General features: G+C 36.7%; 1 protein-coding gene across 4 annotated transcripts in view; it reads right to left on the reverse strand.

Annotated features, from left to right (window-relative positions):
• Positions 1 to 23316, reverse strand: part of COL5A2 (collagen type V alpha 2 chain) — a 409214-nt gene that overhangs the window by 139290 nt on the left and 246608 nt on the right. The window contains exon 1 of one of the 4 annotated variants that reach the window (NM_000393.5): positions 8321 to 8574. The exons of the other annotated variants lie outside the window; for them this stretch is intronic. Within the exon in view, the coding sequence (NP_000384.2) occupies positions 8321 to 8417 (97 nt within the window). The 5' untranslated portion in view covers positions 8418 to 8574. Of the gene's footprint in view, positions 1 to 8320; positions 8575 to 23316 lie in introns of those variants that run through there. 4 annotated transcript variants of the gene reach the window in all.

Genomic DNA, 23316 nt, shown 5'->3' on the forward strand with positions numbered 1-23316 from the left:
GACAGTTGATGCGACTAAAACTCAGAAATGGGCTAGATCAGCAGGATCTTGTATGTCACACTAAGAAGCTTGAACCTTATTCTTTCTACAAGTTACAGGACCCAATGAAAGTTGTTAAGGAAGGTAAATACAAAATTAGATAGTTTTATATCACACTAGCAACAGAAGGCACCAATATATGTGTTTGTTGGAAAGCAGATACATGAGAGGCAAGGAGATGAATTTAGATGCTATCACAGTAACTGAGGGATAGATGATGAGGGCCTAAACTGAGGCATTTGTAGTAGGGATGGAGAAGAGGTACACTTGAGAAACATTTAGCAGGTAAAATGGTAGATCTTAGTGAACGATTGGAATTGTGCTGATTGAATGACTGACTGAATGACCGGGTAGCATCATGTTGCCATTAACTGGCATAAGGGGGACTACATAAGCAAAATGACCAAGTCTTGAAGGGAAGCCAATAAATTAAGTTTTGGATACACTGAATTTCATGTGGTTCTAGGCTGCCTTTGGGACAGCTGAATATATTTATTTATCTAAAGTTCATGTGAAAGATTGGGGTTGAAGAGATGTTATAATTATCAGCATTCAGCTGTTAAACAAAACCCTTAATTCTAGGTGGCCTAGGAAGAGAATATCCAGAGAGAACCAATGAACTAAATCTTGTAAGAAAAGCAAAATGCTACAGGAAAAGAGAAGAAGGAGCCCATGGATGAAGCTGAGAGGGAAAGGTCAGGGAGGTGGAGGAAGAACCTTCAGAGAGTAGCATTTTAGGAAAGCTGGAGTGGTCAATGGTCTCCAATAAAGGAGAAAGGCCTGATAAGATAAGATGAAAAGGGACCCTTGGAATATCACACATTTTAATCCTCACCATGCTAGACCAGCTTAAGTGGAAAGAGAGGCCAAGTGAGGGCATAGGAGGCAGAGACAGAAAACTGCACTGCTCCTTTTAAAGCAGCTGGGCTAAGAATAAAGACTGGGTGGGAGCTAGACACAGGCTGTGGGAGAGAGCTGAACTTGTTTACAAGCTAAAGGGAAAGAGCAGATAGAAAGGAAGTGGCTGAAGTTATAGAAAAGAGAGCATGACTGATGGAACAAGTTCCTCAGGGAGATGGAGAACAAATAAAACACAAAAGAACAAGTCCAGGAGGTGCTTCAAAACAATTCAAAGATTTGGTGAAAGCAATTTAAAAATACACCACTAGGGTTTATATCTGTGGTCAGTGAAGTAGATTGTAATGTCACTTTCCGTGTCTCATTTAAGTACTCTAAAATTACTTTTAAGTAAATTTCTTAAATGGTCCTCCTAAGAATCCCATCAGATGACAAAGGTGCATACTATTTCCTCAATATTTCAGATGAGGACACAAATTCCCAGTGAGGTTAAGGACCCTCTGCAGGTAGCAAAACTGCTAAATAGAACGAGGACCAGAACCCAGCTGTTCTCTCACATGATGGCTGGACCAAGCTTTATTATACTTGTTATACTACATAGACTACAACGAGGCTATGATGCTTACGTTGCAAGTAGTGTTTCCACCAATAATATAGTTTGCTGTCATCTTAAAGCTGAATTCACAATTCTGATTGGGCATCTCAAATAAAAGGTAAAAAGGGGTACAAAACTGTGAGACTGTCTTTCCTCCTTCTTAATCCTAAACTTAAAAAAAAAAAGCATGTAAACATTTTTGAGTTTGAACATAACACCAGAAGGCTATAGGAACAAAGTTTGATTAATTAATTAATATTAATTAATATTGTTAACATTTTTCCTCTTCTTTTTTTTTTTTTTTTTTTTGAGACGGAGTCTCGTTTTGTTGCCTAGGCTGGAGTGCAGTGGCATGATCTCTGCTCACTGCAGCCTCCCCCTCCCAGGTTCAAGCGATTCTCCTGCCTCAGCCTCCCGAGTAGCTTGAATTACAAGTGCCCACCACCATACCCAGATAAATTTTTTTGTATTTTTAGTAGAGACAGGGTTTCACCATGATGGCCAGGCTGGTCTCAAAATCCTGACCTCAGGTGATCCGCCCACCTCAGCCTCCCAAACTGCTGAGATTACAGGAGTGAGCCACACACCCAGCCTCTATCTTCTCTGTAGAAGGCAAGATTTAGATAGGAATAATCTTGCTTTATTGTAATTTCCCTTATACATTGTTTCTTAGTGAATATTTTAGTATAAGATGAAGCCACCTTGATTTATTTGAAGGGTTTAGTTTTTAAAACATTGATAAAATGAAATAAAAACCTTAAGGTTGCCAATATGGTCACACCTTTAAAGCAAAATTTTCCATAGGATAGAGTACTTCCCATGCAAATGCCAAGAGTAAATAGTCTTTTAAATATTGAATATCACAGCTCATTCATCTTACGTAAAATTTAGATAAATATATATGAACTTTATATGGAGATAAATTTAAGAAAACTAGATTATCAGTATCTTCCTGATAATTTCATTCAGACTCCAAAAGCCTACTCAAGCTGTGACTTTTAGATATAAGAAAAGTTCAAAGACTTCATATTTATCAGTAAGTTGATACTGTCTCGTGCTACATTTTTAGTGAAAATTATAGTTTCATGGATATAAATAATAAAAAATATTAAATCAAGGAATATCTTTATATAATTCCAAGATTTGTCTTATATAAACTTGTGTAACTTGCCCAAATTTATACAATAGATCAATTAATAATCAACACTTCCAGTCTTTTCCCCCACCCTTACTATATCTCTAATGTATAAATCTAAGCTTTTCAATGTTGTGATCTCAGAGAAGAAAATCCGATTAAAGATCAGTTGATCCATGTCCATACATTTTAAGAATGCCATGTAAGGCCAGGTGATGATGCATTAATCATTCTTCAAACCAGAGAAAACTGTATGATTTTTAAAAACTACATTCTGTGGCCATAGATTAACACGATTCCAATCTTCTAATTTCCAGCTTCTTAAAACAAAGCTTCCTCTTTCTGCTTTTGCCTCACATCCTGCATTAGGTACCTGTCTAGAATGATGAACACAATGAATTTCAGGCCTGTAGCGATAGTGCTCAAAGTGTGAAGAGCAGAAAGTAAGAGAGAGGAAATATTGAAAATGAAAAACATGCATTCACCTGGAAACACATGCAAATGGCATGTGTCTTCTGCATAGTAGAATGATTCGCCTAATCCACCATGAGGGGTATTTGGGCCTTGAGTTATTTTTCCAGAAGTGATGGTGACTTTGCAATGGTTTACCTACAAACTTCAACTAAGCAGCCTTATAAGTAAAATGAATAACTAGAATAGCAAGTTATTACCAAAATCTTAATGTGTAGCCTCGGAACATAAAAGCCAACAGGTCCACAACAAGATTCAGAGTGTCAGTCAAAGATTTAATACAGTGGTTCACCAATGTAAATCAGAGTCAACTGGAGAGCTCTAAAAACATACAGATGCCCAGACCCCATCCAAACTTCCTAGATATTTGGAAAGTAGAGGGGTCTAGAATCTATATTAGTCACAAGATCTTAGGTGATTCTTTATACCATTTTTTATCAACACTGATCTGTGGCTTGCTTACCAATGACCCTACGAGTCATGGTCCAAGTATACATTGTGTTAGTCAATATTAAAAATTCACTAAATCTATGAATCTACCAATGTACATATGTAGAAAGAGATATACTCTTCAAACTAAAGCTTCAGTTTAGTTTGAATAGAAGTTATAGGTGTCAAAATTTATCTAAAGACAAGAAGCAAAGAAAATGTAGCCTAATATTTATGTGCCATTCAGTCTTCTTGGCTTCACAGTCTACTCAGTAATGAACAATAACCAAAGTGGATCTAGTCACACAACTATATTTTGTCCATTGAAACCGTAAGATCTAGGCCACTAAAAGTAGCTGACCTTTTTGCTCACTGAGGTAGGGACCATAAAACTCCTAATAGTGGTGCTTCCTTTTATCCTTCATAGCAGAACTCAATTCAGTAGAGTATATTGCCAGCACCACCCAGGTAAGGGCTACATTTCCTAGCCCCTCTTGAAGTTTTGTGTGACCATATGACTAAATTCCGGCCAACTGTAAGTAAGTTTAAATGTTATGAAGACTTTAAAGTCTTCATAAAAGGGGGCAGGGTGGGGAATGGCTCACAGTTTTTGTTTTCCATCCTCTATCCACATGCCTAGAAAGTACACGCAATGGCTGGAGCTTCAGCAGCCATTTAGGACCATAAAAATAAATTTAAAAAAAAATACCTAGAGATATGGGAGCCAGGAGAGGTAGAAAAAACCTCAGTCCCTGATGACTTTGTGGAGCCAATATGCCAGCCTTTCACTACCTGCTTAAAAGCATTTCTTTATATTTAAAAAAGAAAACTTTTTTTTTTTTTTTTTTAGACAGAGTCTCACTCTGTCACCCAGACTGGAGTGCAGTGGCACGGTCTCAGCTCACTGCAACCTCCGCCTCCCGGGTTCTAGCAACTCTCGTGCCTCAGTCTCCTGAGTAGCTGGGACCACGCCTACCTAATTTTTGTGCCACCACGCCTACCTAATTTTTGTATTTTGGGTAGGGACGGAGTTTTGCCATATTGGCCGGGCTGGTCTCGAACTCCTGACCTCAGGTGATCCGCCCACCTCGGCCTCCCAAAGTGCTGGGATTACAGGCATGAGCCACTGCGCCTGGCCAGAAAACCTTTTTTTGTTTGTTTAAACTACTGTGTTCTGCTACATGTACCCACTATAAAAGTCTGAATGTCCTACATGTTTCATAGCATGTATTTCAACAGTAATGAGTTTAAAACAATTTATGAGTTAACATGCATCTTAAGCTATGTATACATATTTATACATATTCTGTACCTCCTTTAAAATGATGTCATCCAAATACTACTGAGTGTTAAATATCTGCTTCCTGATTTTTGTATCGTAACAATGAGATAAATGGCAGACATATCATAAAAATGCAAGAGACCATGACATATAAGACTGTGAGCCCCTCATCTCTCAGTAATCAAAAGTTAGCTTGGGTCCAGGAGGATATCAGTGTAGGATTGCAACATGATGGCTGTAAATTCATGGGCCGGGAGCCAAATATATACTCAGATATATTTTATTTGTCATATGCAATATCTTCTGAAAATGTTAATTCTGAATGCCTTAAAGTGGACATGCACCTTCAGTTCTCCACAGGCCCCATCATCACCTATTGATGTACAAACACTGGCTTGCTTCACTTGTTTATATTACCTGCCTGGCCTCTGAAAGCATTGAGGTTTACAGTATTTGGAAACAAAATGATACATTTCTGCACCTTCCCTTCTCCATTGCTTATCCCATGTTGAATACAATGATTCATAACAAAGATTATTTTCTAAAATTAAGCATGCCTACTTCTAATAACAAGAATATATATAGCTCACTAGATGCTAGGCATTAACTTAGGAATATAAATACACTGTAAATGCTCTAGCATTTTCCTTAACACAAATGTGGAATCTTTTGAAGACCACCACCCCAATGCACACACACTCTCACCACACGCACACACACACGCACACACACTCTTTAAAAGCTGATTTTGTCATTTTAACTCCCTGATTTTTCACACACACACATACACCCACACAAACTCTTTAAAAGCTGATTTTTTTCATTTTAACTCCCTAATTTTTGTTACGTTAGTTTTAACTAAAGTCAGCCCAACTCCCAAACTTTCTCCTTTCAGTTTCTTATAAATTTAGAAAATCAAATCAGTTCTTAAAACTCAGTGAGAATGGAACTGATTTTGGCTTAAAATGCCTAAAACTTTATTTATTTACTTTTATCTTCTCATTCATATGTTTCTATCAGGCAGGCATACTCAGATTACATTTTACATTTCTGGTAAATAACCACAGTCAAGTAAAGGGAAATATACCCTGAAGTCATAAAAAGAAAGAAAAAAATAAAAACTTATTAATATGCACTTACATGCAAAAACAGATCTCCACATTTCCAAGAAGACATATTTGTACAAAATGTAAATATCACATTATGTGACTGTTATAGATAAAATTTGAAAAATGTACTTGCTTTTCATGTGTGCCTCAGATATTTCTTTAATTTAAAGCATCGATCTAAGCTTACTCTTCCCCAAACTCAAAATCAAATGGAGTTTCTAAATTATGACACCTTTATTAAGCTTGTGATAGGCCTGAACAGGAAAAAGAAAGTATTGCCAAGTATCCATACAATATCAACTTAAACCAAAATATGCATAGTAAGTAAGTACAATATAAGTTAAGCAGCTCTGAATATACTATACTCTGGAATTATTTTCTCTATTATGTTTGATTAGGGCAATGACGACTTTCTTTTGCTGTTGAATTTTTATCACTTATATTCTCTTAAGTTGAGAAATAAAATACTGGAATTTTTTACAACACATATGCAAGCAATTACACATTCTGTAAAATTTGATGTTTGGAATTCCATTTTCTGTGCTATTTGGTTATACTGTTCGCGGGGGGTACTGGGGTTGGATTGGAGTTGGGGACTTTTTTGCATCAAGCATCACATTCCTTACATTTATGTCAATTACTATTAAGAAAAATTATCTGCTCATTTTTCAAAAACACCTACAGAGTAATTATAACTATTTGGGAATGTCTTTTAAAATATGGCTTATTTCATGTACCTTGTGAAACAGTCCTTTCATTTATTCACATATTCAATTATTTCCATACTTTATTAAAGTACTTTATTCATTTTAACATAAATTAACAAAGAAAGTGGTATTAAAGGTTTTAAATTAAAGTTGGTTGTTTTGGTGGGGGAGGGGAGTAAACTGTTCTTTCTAGAGTCAAATTTTCAATTTCTATTGTAATTTTTCTGTGTTTTTCTCCTCCTGTTTTCTTCTACTTTCTATTCAATTATTTTTGCCACCCTTCCAAACAACACATGCTTTTCATGCCATTACAAAGAAACTCAAAAGTTTTCACCTTTTATAAATTACCTCATATTTTAAAAACATAAAACGTAACATAAAAAGCTCCAAGTCTTAGAAAGTGCCCCCTCTATGGGACTCCTGACAGATTGTTGGATATTCATTTACAAATTCGTATTTTCACTTTTTAAGCTTTTTAGAACTTCTGATCTCTAGATTAATTTTATAAACTTTTTGAAACCAAAAACACACAGAAGCAGATATTTGTTCTAAAAATATAGATATATACATAGTATATATACATATATACCTGTATGTATGTGTCTATATATGAAAGTAATAGAAAAGGTTAATGAATGTCCAAAGTTTTAAAAGCTTGAGTTTGATGTTACATGGTTGAGTTGATGAAAATCTACAGTGGCTTATTTTAAAGGAGTACATGTCTGTATTTGAAATTGCAACCCTCAAGATTAAAGATTTAATAGAGGAATCAATTTAAATATTTTCTTATATACTACAACAGCTATGCATTTTTGCTTAACCATACCATATAACCCAACTGTAACATATGAAAATTGCATAGGAAAAAAATGTGGTCACCAGGCAAGATTTATCTTTAAAAAAAAAAAAAAAAAAAAGCTTGGGTCTAAGGGGTAATGTCCATGCAAATATTCCATGCCAAATAAGATATATACAAGACATGCTGATTTCCTGCCTTCCGCCATCCAACCGGGAACCACCACTGTCCTGTTAATCAAGCCAGTAGGGTGGGAAAATACCACTGTTTAAGAAATCTGGCTTCTATCAGCCTCTGTCATGGAGAAACAAACGAGACTGCCTCCCAGTAAGCAAAAGTGATCACATTTTCACAAATGAAAATGGTAAAAAGAAGTTTAAATTGTTAAAGAGGAAAGAATGAGGAGCCAAAGACAAAGAAAAATCAAAGCTATCAGAGTTGCTGCAGAGGTTTTACTAAACAAAGAATTTTATGAAGCAGCTGAAGTTCAGTACAAAAAGACTCCACCCTACCCAGCTTCTGCCGCGACTTTTCCTTGCTCTGAAAACTCCAGCCCACAGAACAGAGCTCCTCTAACTAAAATGCCTTTAGTGCTCCGTTTTAAGCATTCACTCTTTTCTTATTTTAAACGTCCCACTCTCACACTCAGCCAAAAGGACTTATTGTAGGCTTTCCCAGAAAAATTTAGTAGTGTACTCTCTCCAACGGTGGATCTAGAAGCTCCGGATTTACAAACATCCCAATTGTCTTTCAAGTCGTTTTCCAGGTGCAAATCCGTCAGCCCCCTTCTCAAACTTCAAACCAGAACCTCCTCTTCACGCTCTTCCTGAGGCTTAACATTCCACCTATTTCCCAAACCGTGCAATAAACACTACAAGCAAAGCAAATGGCAAACTCACCATCCTCGTCTTCTTCCTGGGCTTTTATTGAGACAAATTGCCCTAATAAAACAATAAGAATGAGGAGAGGTCTTGCTTCCGCCCAGTTTGCCATCATGTCTAAATATTAGACATGTGGGTTCTCCTGAGAGTGAAAAGTAGATTCTGAGGTTATTGTAGCACCATGAAGTCAGCTGTGGGCTCTTCTTTCAGCACCAGCCCCAGGGCAGCCTCTGCAAACCCCCTTTTTCAGCACCAGCTCCAGCACAGTCTGCGAAAACTTTTTTCAAGCGATGCAGCTTTAAATAGGAAGAATGCTGCCTCCACTTCTTTTCCTGCCCCTTTTCAGCTTGTTCAGGCTCATAACCATCCAGTGTCTGCCAAGCAACGGTCTGATTGATGGTAAACAACCAAATCAGAACACGCGTCTCTGTGCCTGAACTTTCCCTATTTCATTTAACTTTTAAGCATAGATGGGGCTTAATAACAGAAACAAACATTTGTTTCTCTTTTCTTTTATTTTTTAAGAAAGGCTGTTAGAAGAAAAGGGTTCTATTTTCCCCTCCCTAACCCTTCCCCCCAGACACACACCCTTTAACTTTTCCCCTATAAGCTGAAAAAGACATTCCGAAGGAAATCCAGCCTTTTACCCTAGTTTTTTTACATTTAGATAATTCAAGACTCTCTTCTCCACCTTAAATCTTTAAACAATCACATTTTAACCCTTTCTTTTGACTGAATAGGGAGTATTCTTATCCCCTTCTCAGATTCGGTTTCTTTTCCCATACTCTGGAAGGAGATTATTAGAATGTTGCCCAGGTAAAGTCCAGGTTAGAAAACCATTTTGGATAAATGAATTTGTGATACATTGTAATTTGAATTAAGAAAGCATGTCCTTTCCTAATTTCTCCACATCTCTTGTTAAGGGGCCACATCTTCAGGTTCCTCTTGTCCCAGAGAGTTTTACCATGTTGAAAAATAGTCTACTAAGCAGTGCAGAGGAATGGGAAGTACTCTACCTTTGGATGAAAAAAGGCTTGCTTCTGCCTTTTGTGAGTGGTTCTGCCACTCAATAATTTTGTAAATGTGCATATAGTCCTTTATCTCTGTGCACTCCAATTTTCTCATTTGAGAAAAGGGCTTTACCCTGACCAGTGTACAGGGTTTAGTGACACTAAAATGAGTAATGTATTATTAATGAAGCTCCAAATTGCAAAGAGCTACATAAAAGCAGATGGTGGTATTATTAGCTTTAAGCCAGCTTTGCAGGGAATATGATAGCCCCAGTTGAACATGCATTTTAAGGAAAATTATCGATGAACTTTTGTGCCACCCTCACACTTGCCAAGATCTTAATGACCTCAGAGAGTTCTATACAATCTAATGTATTTGCCACCTTGAGTCTCCCTAGAATCAGGATGGATGTTCTATACAATACAAGTGAGTCAATTGTTTATAATTATTGGGCAACAGGTGCCTTGCACTGTGCTAAGCACTGGGCAGAAAGGATGACATAAAAGAAATAAAAGACATACCCATCACCTTCAAGGAACATATGTAGGTGTTGAGAAACTAAATTTACAAGAAATAAAGATATATAAGCCAGAGCATATAAATATGTGAGGGATGCATTAAGCCCGGAGAAAGGAGAAATTATCAAATGAGATTAGGCAAGCAAGACATTATTACTGTTCTTAATAGAAGAAATCCAAGAACCTTTGCATTTTAGCTTTGGAACTAGACTCTGGATAAATATTCCAGTGGAGGTCAATTTTCCCGGTTGTTTCCAGCTTCTAACCCTGTACCTCTCAGTTTATCTTTTCATTTAGACATGTCCCATTTCAATGACTTCTGTCACCACCACACTGTTCTCAGGGGTGCCCTTCCACTTAATGAATGGGCTAAGTAAGGACCAAAAATCACCTTTCAGTTAATTCTTTCTAGAATATCTTAGAGAGGCTAGGACTTGAAATCCATCTGACTATATATTCAAAGATAACAGGAAGATAAGTAAATGTGGGGGGGAGGAATTAACCTTTCTCTGAGCTTGCCAGTCCTATTCTACCATGAGGCAATTTTAGACCAATACCACCCTGATACCGAAGGGCTGGCACAATTTTCAGGCACCTTGTGCAGCATTTTTACTGAAGTGCAAGACGGCAGACATTTATGGAGAATCTACAACTCTCAGATCCTATGCTGGAGATAAAACAATGATTAGGCAAGATTGCAGGACTTGTAGCAGAGTCAGTGTATGGAACACTCAGTGGCTGCTCAGATCAGTAGTTTAGTATCTGTTATCTGTTTGTTAATAAAGTTGTTTTAAATTTAACTATAAACATGGCTTATATAAGAAAGGTTAAAACCACCATGCAGTCTCTCATGGTTGCCACCAGTTTCAATCTCCTCTTCCCACCCTACTGAAAGCTCATGGTATGACAGAAGCATAGCAAATATTTGTCAGAAGACCTGAGATAAGTAAATATTCCATATTGTCCTTGTGAACTCTTGAAATCTTATTGCAATCAAGTCATAAATAGCAAAGTATTTTGCAACTTGGGCTTTTTCTCTATGTCTGGTTTTAGGGTCCCACATTACAATTTGGAAAAGACTAAAATATACACAGGTATTGACCAGGAATATCTGTTTAATATATGTGGTTGAATTCAGAATAGAGGACAATGCCATTTCTTAGTCCTTAAAGAACTGATTATAGACCTCACTGCTGCAGTGGGGTACTCAGAAATCTGTCCCAATTCCAGTGAAGCCTATCCTAACAGTGTATGTTTTGTAATAATATGTGCTAGTGGGTGAATATTTTCCAATTCTCACAGCAACCCTGAAAGGTACTTATTATTTTTCTCAAATCATATATAGGCGATTACGGTTCAAAGATGTTTACTTGCTCAAGTTTGCTCACCTAATAAGCAATAAATCTAGGGTTCCACTTCAGTGATGTCTGACTCCAGAGTGAATGTTCTCACCCCTTTTTAGCTCTTTTTAGACCTACTTGACACTCAAACTTCTATTACCACCACACTGTCCCCAGGAGGAGCCTATTTCCAATTAATGAATGGGCTGAGTAAGCACCAAAAATCACCCTTCAGCTACTTCTTTCTGGAATATATGAGAAAATCAGGACTTGTAAACCACCTTGCTAAATATTCAGGAAGAATAACAGAAAAACAAATAATAAAAATCAAAGGTTCTTGTATTTCTTCCACCAAGAAAAGTGATAATGCCTTACTTACCTAATCTCATTTTATAATCTTCCCTTTCTCCGAACTTCTGCTGAGCTTGATGCATGACACACATATTTATATGCTCTGGCTTATAAGAAAAATTGTCTCAGCGCCCTTTCAGGGATGATCCCTCCCTCTGCACTCCTTATCCCATTTCTTCAAATCTCCTTGCAGATGTTACTCTGTCAGTGTCTCCTTCTCTCTTCTCTACCTTCCACCTTTCTTCTTCTGCTAGTACCTTTCCTACAGCCTGTAAAGCTGCTCCTCACTAATAGTCAATCTTGAAAATAAAAAAAGAAGGGGAGGTTTCCCTTAACCCCACATCTTCTGTGGTCTCTTTTTCCCTTCCATTCCTTCTTCTTTCAGTAATCCTCCATCCCCATATCAGGATCTTATTTCTAGCACTCTAGTTTAGATTGCACTGGCAGAGACACCAACATCCCTTTGTTGATAAACCCAAAGATCTTTCTTCTTTCCCCTCCTAACAGTTGACATTCTGATTACTCCCTTAATACTGAAACTCTTTCCATTCATGGCTTCCCTGGTCTCACATACTCCTTTTATGCCTCCTGCTTTGCTAGTCAAACTTCCTTTTCTAATTCCTCTCAGAAAGTCATCTATGCTCTCCAATCTTGCACTATCAGCTTTTTTCCCTTGTTGCCCATTGACTTGGGGTATATTAACTATTAAATTAAATCCCTTGACTTTATTTCTGTTTACATGTTAATTACTCCTAGTCAAGGCCTTCCTCCTGAGCTACAGACCTATATTTTTCAAGTGCCTCAATTAAACATCTCCCACTGGAGAAGCATAAAACTCAGAATCCAAAATGAAACTATTATCTGCAATTGTTCTTTATACCAATTAACACTACCACCACCATCTTAGTCCCAAAGATCTGAAATAGGGAAGGATACTCTTCATTTTCCCTCAACCTGCATCCTATTACTCCCAAAGTCCTCTTGATTTTGTTATGCATTCTTTCATTCAATTACCCCTCTTTCTAAGAAAGCTGACTCCCAGTTACCTACAAAATATAATAACATGAGTTTAAGATAATAATAATAATGCATGCCTATTTCTTGGTTCCAGTCTTCTGCTTTCCTCTTGTTGTTTTATCCGGAGGAAACAGATTTTCCCAGACACATAAAGCAGTTTCACACCTCATAATTTTACTCAGGCTCTGACCTTTGCCTGAAATAACCACTTCCCTGGTCTAATTTATTCCCTCATTTAACAAATATTTATTGAGGGTCTATTATTTGTCAGGTTCTAATGAAGGCACTAAGGATACATAGCTGTGAACAACACAGACAAGGTCCCTGATTCCACACAGCTTACAACCTTGAGTGGAAAAACAGCAATAAACAAGTAGGCAAATATACAAACAAGGTGATCTTAGACAATTAAATGCCATGAAAGAAATAAACAGTCAGTTATTTAAGAGTTGCTCAGGAGTTGGTGGCAGAAGGGATGCTTCAATAGTGCCATTGGGAAAGATGGCATTTTAAGGAAGCAACAGTGAACTTGAGACCTAAAATTTGAAAAAAAAAAAATCACCAGAAAACAGAAAAGAAGACATTTCAAGCTAAAGAAACAGCAAGTGGGAATGGCCTGGACTGGTGTATGTGTTTTCTATTGCTGCCATAAAAATTACTACTGACTATGGCATAAAACGCTAATATCTTATATTTCAGAAGGTCAGAAATCTGACATGGATCTCGTTGAGATAAAATCAAACTGTTAGCAGGGCTGCATTCCTTTTTGGGGTGCTTGGGGAAAATCTATTTCCTTGTTTTTTGAACTTTTAGAAGTTACCTGCATTCCTTGTTTTGTGGCCCCTTCCTCCATCTGCAAAGCCAGCAACATAGCATATTCCTGACATGTCTTCGTTGTCACATTTTTCCATGACTACAAACTGGAAAGGACTTTTACAGACCCATGTGACTACATTGGTCCCATCTGGATATTCCAGGATAGTTTCCCTCATCTCAAAGTCTTTAATCACATCAGCCAAGTCCTTTCTGATGTGTAAGGTAACATACTCACAGGTTCTAGGGATTAGGACGTGAGTGCATCTTTGGGGGCTATTATTCTTTCTGTACCATAGACAGAAATAAACTTAGATTGTGTAAAAGTAGGCAGGAAGCCATTATGGCTAGCATGATATAAGATTAGACACGAGGTTTATCATTAATTCCTTGTCGGTCATGGGGAAGAATTTAAATTTTTTTCCTAAATGCAATGAGAAATCAACAAAGCGTTGTTATACAAACAAATGGCATACTCTAATATGCTACTTTTTTTTTTTTTGAGACAGAGTCTTGCCCTGTCGCCCAGGCTGGAGTGCAATGGCATGATCTTGGCTCACTGCAGCCTCCGCCTCCCGGGTTCAAACGATTCTCCTGCCTCAGCCTCCCAAGTAGCTGGGATTACAGGCACGCACCACTACGCCTGGCTAATTTATTGTATCTTTAGTAGAGATGGGGTTTCACCATGTTGGCCAGGCTGGTCTCAAACTCCTGACCTTTTGATCTGCCCGCCTCAGCCTCCCAAAGTGCTGGGATTACAGGCGTGAGCCCAGTGTGCCCGACCCTAATATGCTATTTTTTAAAAGATCTGTATGGCATGTAAGAAACGTATTATGCGAAGGCAAAGATAGAAGCAGGGACACCAGTTAGAAGTACTCTTACTACAAATGAGAAATAATGGAGCCCTAAAAAAGGACAGTGGAAATAGAAAGAAGCAGAAAGATTCAGGATGTATTTTGAAAATAACATTTCTGCTGGATTACAAAGAGCTAGAAAAAAAATGAGAAATTGAGGAAGACACTCTGCTGATTGAGTGGATGATACAGCTGGCAAAGCTCAACCATTGCCTCCCCTGACAAATGGGTCTGCTTCTTCATAAAACCCACGAGCATGTTCTGTGTAGACCTCTATTAACATCATACTATATTTACCTGTCTGTTTCCCTTATCATATTGAAACCTTCCTGAGATTAAAGGCATTGTTGGGTCATTGTTTGCTTGATAGCTATTTCCTGAACATACATTGTTTGATAAGGAATCAATAGAAAATGATGATTGAATGACCGTGAGACAAGTGGCAGTGAACATAAATAAATATGATTCCAAGGTGTCAATCCCGGAGAACCAGGAAAATGATTGTCCTAGAGAAAGAAATATCTAAGCAAGGAGGAGAAACTAGTAATAGAGCAGGAGCGCATAGAAATGATTAGGTGCATCTGTGCACATATATGCTTTGAAATAGCAAACCATAATTTTTTTTTTTTTCTTAAGAGTGGTAGTCTTGCTCTCTCACCCAGGCTGGAGTGCAGTAGCACGATCACAGCTTACTGCATCCTCGAACTCCTGAGCTCAAGGGATCCTCTCACCTCAGGCTCTTGGGCACGCACCATCACAATCAGCTATTTTTTTTTAACATTTTTGTAGAGATGGGTCTCTCCATCTTGCACAGGCTGGTTTCGAATTCCTGGGCTCAAACAATCCTCCTGCCTCAGCCTCCCAAAGTGCTGGGATTACAGACATGAGCCACTTTATCAAGCCAACAAACCATAATTTTTGAACAGAAAAAGACTGCATATTGTGAATATACTTTTTTCTCACTGAAAGCCACTATGAAAATAATAACCAGAACAATAATAATAATGGTTAGACTGTATTAAGTACTTACTATGTCAAATACTGTGTTAGCACTTTATATGTATTAACTAATTTAATCCTAAAATCAACACGGTGGGGTAAGTGCTACTTTTTTTCGTATTCTACGGATGAGGAAGGAAATTGAGGCTAATAAAAAAACTAATTTGCATCAAATTGCACGTCAAGGAATGACTATTAATAGATCCTGCTTTGAAATCCTGGCTGCACAGTTTTTTCTCTTAACAAGGAGGTTCAAAGAAATTATGTGATGTTTATTTTCTTAGCTTAAGCTCCATCACTGCTTTTTAAAAAAATTACAATATTGGGAGACTCACTCAAAATGTCATTATAATAATATCATTTCAAGGAAAACAAATGCATGTACCAATGAATTTAATTATCAATGCTATCTATATCCAAATTTTATAAATATGTTACCTCTATCTGAAAATCTCTGCTGAAAATATATCTTTAACATTTAGACATTATTAAAGATATTTCCTTTTTTGTATTAGAAATTTTTACCTTCATTCTAACATTCTTATGATATGAATTTTCATTTTAATCTGAATACTTATATTTTAGCTTAGTCATATTTTGGGAAAAGTTTGCATTTTACATTTTAGAATATTGTGCTGTCTCCTAAGGCATCAATCGTTACATTTAGAGATTATGGAGAGTCTTGTGAGCCAAGATCATAAATAATATGAGAGCTTGGCTTGTGTAGCACTCTTCTCTTTACACACTATTCCAGCTCACACATACTCTTTGAGACTTACAATAACTCAGTGAAATAATATGCACCAGATGATTGCTCCCATTTTATATTGAGATTCAGAGATATTAAGTGACTTGTCAGAAGTCACACAATATAATGAATGGCCTCATATATTGGTTTTCAAGACCTAGCACTCTATCCACTGTACCTTGATAATTAAACTGCAATTCAAATTTTATGAACTAGGAAGATAGCAACAAAAATGTCTGCAGATATGTGGTGATTATGAGCCAGACAGAGTTTAAATGCTGGCCCCACCACTTACTACCTGGGTCATGATGAAAACATCACGTCTTTTCTGCTTTTCAATTTCCTCATCTGAAAAATGGGGATAATAATATTACCTACCTCATTGGTAATTGTTGTAAGTATTAAATGAGTTGAAATTTATAAAACTCTTGGAACGATTTCTGGCATAGAGGTAATATTACATAAGTGCTGGTTAAATAAAAATAAGAAACTGTTAGCGTTTCTTCTAAAAAACATATAATGTGTCATTAGTTTAAAATGTTACTATTGGCCGGGCGCGGTGGCTCACGCCTGTAATCCCAGCACTTTGGGAGGCCGAGGCGGGCAGATCACGAGTCAGGAGATCGAGACCATCCTGGCGAACATGGTGAGACTCCGTCTCTACTAAAAAAACAAAAAATTAGCCAGGCGTGGTGGTGGGCGCCTGTAGTCCCAGCTACTCAGGAGGCCGAGGCAGGAGAATGGTGTGAACCCGGGAGGCGGAGCTTGCAGTGAACCAAGATCGCGCCACTGCACTCCAGCCTGGGCAACGGAGCGAGACTCTGTCTCAAAAAAAAAAGTTACTATTAAAATTTACTTAAAGACCAAAACCCCAGGCTAACTAGAGGGAAGTTTAATCCTGTACCACACTATGTTCCACTCACCCTCTCATTCTGCTGTGTTTTTCTTCTTTTATATTATGTTTATTGAGATGTGGTTTACATAATTTCATCTTTTTAGGTGTACAGTTCTTTAAGTTTTAGCAAATGTATACAATGTATACAATAATGTGACTGCCATTATATGACATTTTCTTCACTGCAAAAATTTCCACCATTTGGAGTCAATCTCTTTCTTCCATTCCCATCCCTGGCACCATTGAACTGTTTTCCATTTCTTTAGTTTTGCCTTTCTACAATGTTAGAAAGGCAAATGAAAATGAAATCACACCATATGTAGCTTTTTGTGCCTGATTCCAAGATTCATCCATGCTGTTGCACGTATAAGCAGTTCATTCCTTTCTTTAAAGCTTTTATGTTTACATTTTTAAAATTTATTTCCTCATTCTTAATCATTCATCCATCAGTTATTTTTTAAGCCTAATAAATCTTGAGACATGGATGATTGTTTGTATTGGAATAGACAATTCTCTGTAGCTAAATTGAGAGTCCATGAGTCAAGGCTTCCCCTGAGAGAAGCTTTTTAAATGGCAGGACTAGGCACAGGCTACAAAGGGGAAATTGTCCAGAAACGCAATGGCACCAAAGACCTCCTATAAGAAATGAGTGTGCTATGCTCCACGTCCTGCTTTTAAAAAGTTAAAGGCCTAAGTCTCAAGTTGTGTCTCAACAAATAAGGAGTCATTCATCTCAACAGGATCTGAGTTCTAGCATTGTTCAGTTGACAATTATGTGGCGACCAGAGGTCTGGGAAACGTGTCTTTTCTTGCTATAGAGAGGGCAGCACAGGGCAGGGAAGTCAAAGTGATATATTTTTTTCATATTTAGTCCATCAGTATTTTGTTTAATACTTTAAAGACTTCTGTGTATTGGAGAAAACTATCTCTTCTACACCTTCAGTGAAATTAATTCTGTTTTGCAGATTTATAGAATTTTCTGTCTTTGAGAGAAGAAAGGAGTTTTTTTATAAATTGGCCCTTGAGAGAAAAACAGAATTTTATATAAATCTGCCATTTTAAGTGCCATTTCTGTTGTATTTTTGTGTCCTGTATTTGAATGAAATAATTGCACTAGCCCTCAACATGCCAGAAGAATTCAATACCAAATTATTTGAAAATACTTTTTTAGAAAATCTGAGTAATAAAAATATTCATCCCTCTCTTCTTCTCCTGATAGAGATGTATCAAATGGGAGACGGCCAGCAGTGATCAAGTCTTGATTAATACTGAAAAACAGAAGCTTGTGCTCACAATCCCTGCCATTACAATTCTTTATAGTATGTAAGTACTTTAATAAACATTATGAAGCTAAAATGGCATTATTGATTTAAAAATATATGATGCCCCTGTAATTCCAGTTACTTGGGAGGCCAAGGCCGGAGAATCACCTGAGGCCAGGAGTTAAAGACCAGCCTGAGCAACATAATGAGACCCCATCTCTAAAACAAATAATAATAATAAAATAAATTAGCCAGGCATGGTGAGGACCACTTGAGCCCTGGAGTTTGAAGTTGCAGTGAGCTATGATCATGCCACTGCACTCCAGCCTGGGTAACAGTACAAGACTCTGTCTCTTAAGTAAAAAGGAAAATATGTATGTGTGCATGTATATATATATATTTCATTTGAATTAGAATTTCTATTTAAATATCTTCAAGTAATCAATGAGTTCACATTGGTATAAATAACAAATACGCATTAAGAAAATCTCTGACCACAGCAATTGAAGTCTTAATTATATATTAAAGTATGGTCAGTATATAACCAAGTTTTTCAGTGTCCTAAACATCACAAGGACCCATGCATTGATTATACCGCTTAGAAATCAGCAGCAATCCAAATATTTGGCACTAATTAATTAAAACATGTACATATCCATACACTAAATATACATGCAAAAAAAAGTTGGTGAAAGAGCAATTCATAAACTTGATTTTGAGTATGTTCTTAAATTATTGCATCTACATAAATCTGAGTCCTTCTTGACACCCAAAGGTAAGAAAACCAAAGGCCCTGTGAACACTTCCTACAAAAAAGGGGGGGTCATTTTTAATACACAGTAAATACTAAAGCAGGTTTCATTCACCAGTTGGAGAGTGTACTATTTTAATGTTTTCTTAAAGTATGTGAGTGATATCATCTCATGAGATTTGGAGGAACACCTGGATTTCATTTTGTTGTTTTACAGAGACTTACTTTTGTTTTCTCTGGAATAACTGCAATCAGAAGATATTATTGGAGGAGTGAGATTTTATAAATGTGCCTTGTCTTCCCTTTCAGCATCATCTTCACTTCCATAATTTTGGAATGAAAGGAATCTTGAAAATCCATAAATACAATACACAGCTAACACACTCAAGGGATACTTAGAGCATTCGGCAATTTATCTTCCTGTTAATTTACTTTAAAAATAATTTATACACATTTATTTGTAAAAAGAGTTATTTTATTAATTTATGACTTGTAATCAATTTCTAAAGCCCAGCAGTTGACTCCAGAAACCACAATGTACTTAATTTCCTAGATTTTTCTCAGTATTCTACTCCATTTTTATAAATCTGATAAAAACTCTCCAAATAATTTGGGACACTGAAATTATCAATAGCAGGAAGAATTAAGAAGTTACTGTGCTCCTAATGCATGAGCATCAGTCATCACACCCTTGTTTCAAATGTGACTTATTCATCCTAATATGCTCATCCTTCTTAAGATGGGGTTTTGGTTTCAAAAGTTACATGATTTATATGCAAATCAATGTAATGCACATTTGTTAGAGAGATTACTTTGAGAATGCAGATATGTACAGGATATTGTCCTGGCCCACCAAAGGCTTACGTGGTTTGGTGGTAATAGACGCAATCACTGATATCTAACACATAATAAAGGAATGAGTTCTATTATACAAACACACAGAACAATAATAGGAGAACAGCGTATGATAAAAGGACTTGAAGTCACAAGGAACTTGGAAAGAGGTTCTGGATGTGATAGGATTTAAGCAGAGCTTCAGAAAATGAATAGCACTCCAACAAAGATTGCCTGAAGGGAGATTAGGGAAACCATAAAAAAAAAAACAAAAAACAAACAAACAACAAAAAACAACAACAAAAAAAACCACTCAGGTGGCTTAAAGAAATTGGTTAGTAGCCTAGCAGAGTTAAGACAGCTACAACAGCAGGGACTAAAAACCTATCTTCAAATTCTAAGAGGAAAGCATGTTGAATTTACAGTAAAGGAGGTAAGAAAAATGCCAGGAAATATTTTAAAAGCTAACTGCAATAGGCCGGGTACAGTGGCTCAAGTCTGTAATCCCAGCACTTTGGGAGGCTGAGGTGGGTAGATCACCTGAGGTCAGGAGTTCGCGACCAGCCTGGCCAACATGTTGAAACCCCATCTCTACTAAAAACACAAAAATTAGCCAGGGATGGTGGGGGGCACCAGTAGTCCCAGCTACTTGGGAGGCTGAGGCACAAGAATCACTTGAACCTGGGAGGCAGAGATTGCAGGGAGCCGAGATTGCAGTGAGCCAAGATTGCGCTCCAGCCTGGGTGATGGAGTAAGACTCCATCTCAAAAAATAAATAAATAAATAAAGCTAACTGCAATGAATCTCAACCTTAACAATACTTTCATCTTTTATTGGTCTATCCAGTATTTCAAGATAATGTATATATTTATCATTATACTTCAGAGTACTTTTATTTTTTTATGATTTTACTAAGCTAATAAACTACTGAACTGGATTCTTCAGAATGCTGTGTCTTGAGGGAGGCACAGAGAGACATCAATAATATCCCCACATCTTTACTCTTGTAAGAAAAAAAAAAAAGCACTTCTACTACTCTGCATGGTTTTGTTTATTGTAGAACCACACCCATATCTTTGCTTCCAAAAGACATAGCTCAAGAAGAAATGTGGATGAATCAGTAACCATACATAGATTTGAATTCTGCTTTTCACATAACAACCTCAACCTATCTTCCAAGTTCATCTCAAAATAGTCATCTTTTTCAGCAGCCTGCATCAACACAGCAGAGAAGTGGAAGATACACACAGGTAGGTTCCTCATTTATGTAAATCTGTGAGGGTTAACCAGATCTGTAAAGTAAAATGCTTTACTTTAAAGACAACATATAGTTCTAAATTCCAAATCCTGAAGAAAAGGAAATGAATACCTAATATAATCAAAGTAATTTTAAGTTAAAAAAAAGGAAACAAAAACTTACCTTGTGTCATTAAGAACCTGAAGTGTGACATTTCTCATAGGACTATTCTACAGAATATTCTCTCTGGAAGTAGGTCTTTGGGAAACATGAGCTTTGGTCCTAAAAGCCTCTCACTAACCACTTTACATGAGGACGACCCCATAGGTCCTTCGAGCCCAATTCCTTATTTGCATAATGAAATGGTAAAAGACCCTTAATATTTCCAAGTATTGTTACAGGAACATTCATGAATAAGTTTTCTAAATTCTATAAATTAATAAAATATGTTGTCATTCTCATTACTTATTTTACCTACATATAAAGAGTGATTCAATACAAATAGAGAAGAGCCCTATTCAATTTTTTGCTTAAGTATGAACAATATGAAGTCTCAAAGCTATTTTTGGACATTAAAAGTGTATTTTCAATGGGTAAAAGGACAAAACCAGTGCTACGGTTTGAATGTCTCCTCCAAAATTCATCTTGAAATTTAATTGCCATTGTAACAGTATTAAGAATTAAGATATTTAAGAGGTGATTAAGCCATGAAGGCTCTGCCCTTGTGAATGAATTAATGTCTTTATCTCAAGCATGGGTTCCTATCACAAGAGTGTGCTACTTATCACAAGAGTGCTACTTATCACAAGAGGATTCCTATCACAAGAGTGTGATACTTATCACAAGAGTGCTACTTATCACAAGAGGACGCATTTGGTCCTGTTTTGTCTCTGTCACCCTCTCTTGCCCTTCTACCTTCTGCCATGGGATGACACAGCAAGAAGGCCCCTGCCAGATGCTGGCCCCTTGATCTTGGATTTCTCAGCCTCAAGAACCATGCCAATAAATTTCTGTTCATTATAAATTACCCAGTCTCTGGTATTTTGTTTTAGTAGCCCAAAGCAGACTAAGAAATCAATAAGCAATGCAATGTTGCTTGGTTTGACTTGGTTTTCAAACTGCCTAAACTCAGAAAGATTTTCCAACTTGAGCATTGATCTAATAGGATGAACTAAAAGAAGAACAAATTTGGAGGGAAAGAAAGATAAAGAATAATGAGGAAGACATCTAATATCCTGCTGGGAAAAAAATAGACATTTCATTTGCTTAAAAGTAATATGCAAAATCAAAATACTATTTATTTACCACTTATGACCATAAGAGTTTCAAATATATAAACTATAAATGATCTTTGTTGATGGAACGGTGATAATGCAAAAATGACATTTGTTGATCCTAAGTCTTTGTTCTGAAATTGCAAAGGACTTTCACAACAATACCCCACTGAATTCTCTCAACTGAAATGGGCAGCACAAACCTCATTTTATAGATAACATTTAGTTAAGAGGGATTAAATAACATGCAAAAATTACACAAGTAGTGAGTAAATCACTCAAGACACAAACCCAGATCTGACTTACAGTTCTTCCTGTACTCCAGAGAAGGGCATAAGCACTCTCAGATGCTCCCAAGACATTATTTTCTGGGGGAGAGAGGATGAGTTTATGAGATTCTTCCTTTTCCAGCTACAAATCTGCATAAGGCCAGATCTTTTCATATACTTTAACCATACCAATTTATGGCAACAGATTAAAATCAGATGCAATCATGAGAATTCTCATGCAATCACGAGAAAGCCAGATATTAAAGAGACTCAAAAATGAAAAATAATGCCACTCTTCTAATTAGTTGTTTTGATTCAGTAAACGCAGTTATTTTCATAAAATGCATCATTTATATTAATATGTAATGGGTATATTGTTGTTATTTTAAATAAGTTAATAAATGTTTAGAAGTCTTTCATCATTTTTAATTTCTAAAACGGTAAATGCCAATAGATATAATCCACCACAAAAAGTTATTTGGGGTCCTCAATAATTTTAAGAGTACAAAGGGCTCCTGATACCAAACCAAAAGTCTGACAAATACTGCTCTACACTATGGTCCAAGCGAGTCCATTTCTCATCTACATTTTTAATATAGCATTTAATTTTCAAGTTTACCAAAGTAGCACATGCTTTTCTCTCACTCGTAGAAAAGGGCTAATGCAGAAAATATTTAAAAAATCATTTGACTAACAAACCCACTACCCTAATATAATCATTGTTAACATTTACAACATTTATTTCTCTCTGAGGTTTCTTTCTCACTTAGGAATACATTTTACATGTGATCTCTTGCTTGACATAATGCTTTTTTTCCAATTAACACTGTGCAAGGACTAC

The sequence above is a fragment of the Homo sapiens genome, chromosome 2 (genome assembly GCF_000001405.40).
Source record: "Homo sapiens chromosome 2, GRCh38.p14 Primary Assembly".
In the NCBI taxonomy this organism is placed as follows: Eukaryota; Metazoa; Chordata; class Mammalia; order Primates; family Hominidae; genus Homo; species Homo sapiens.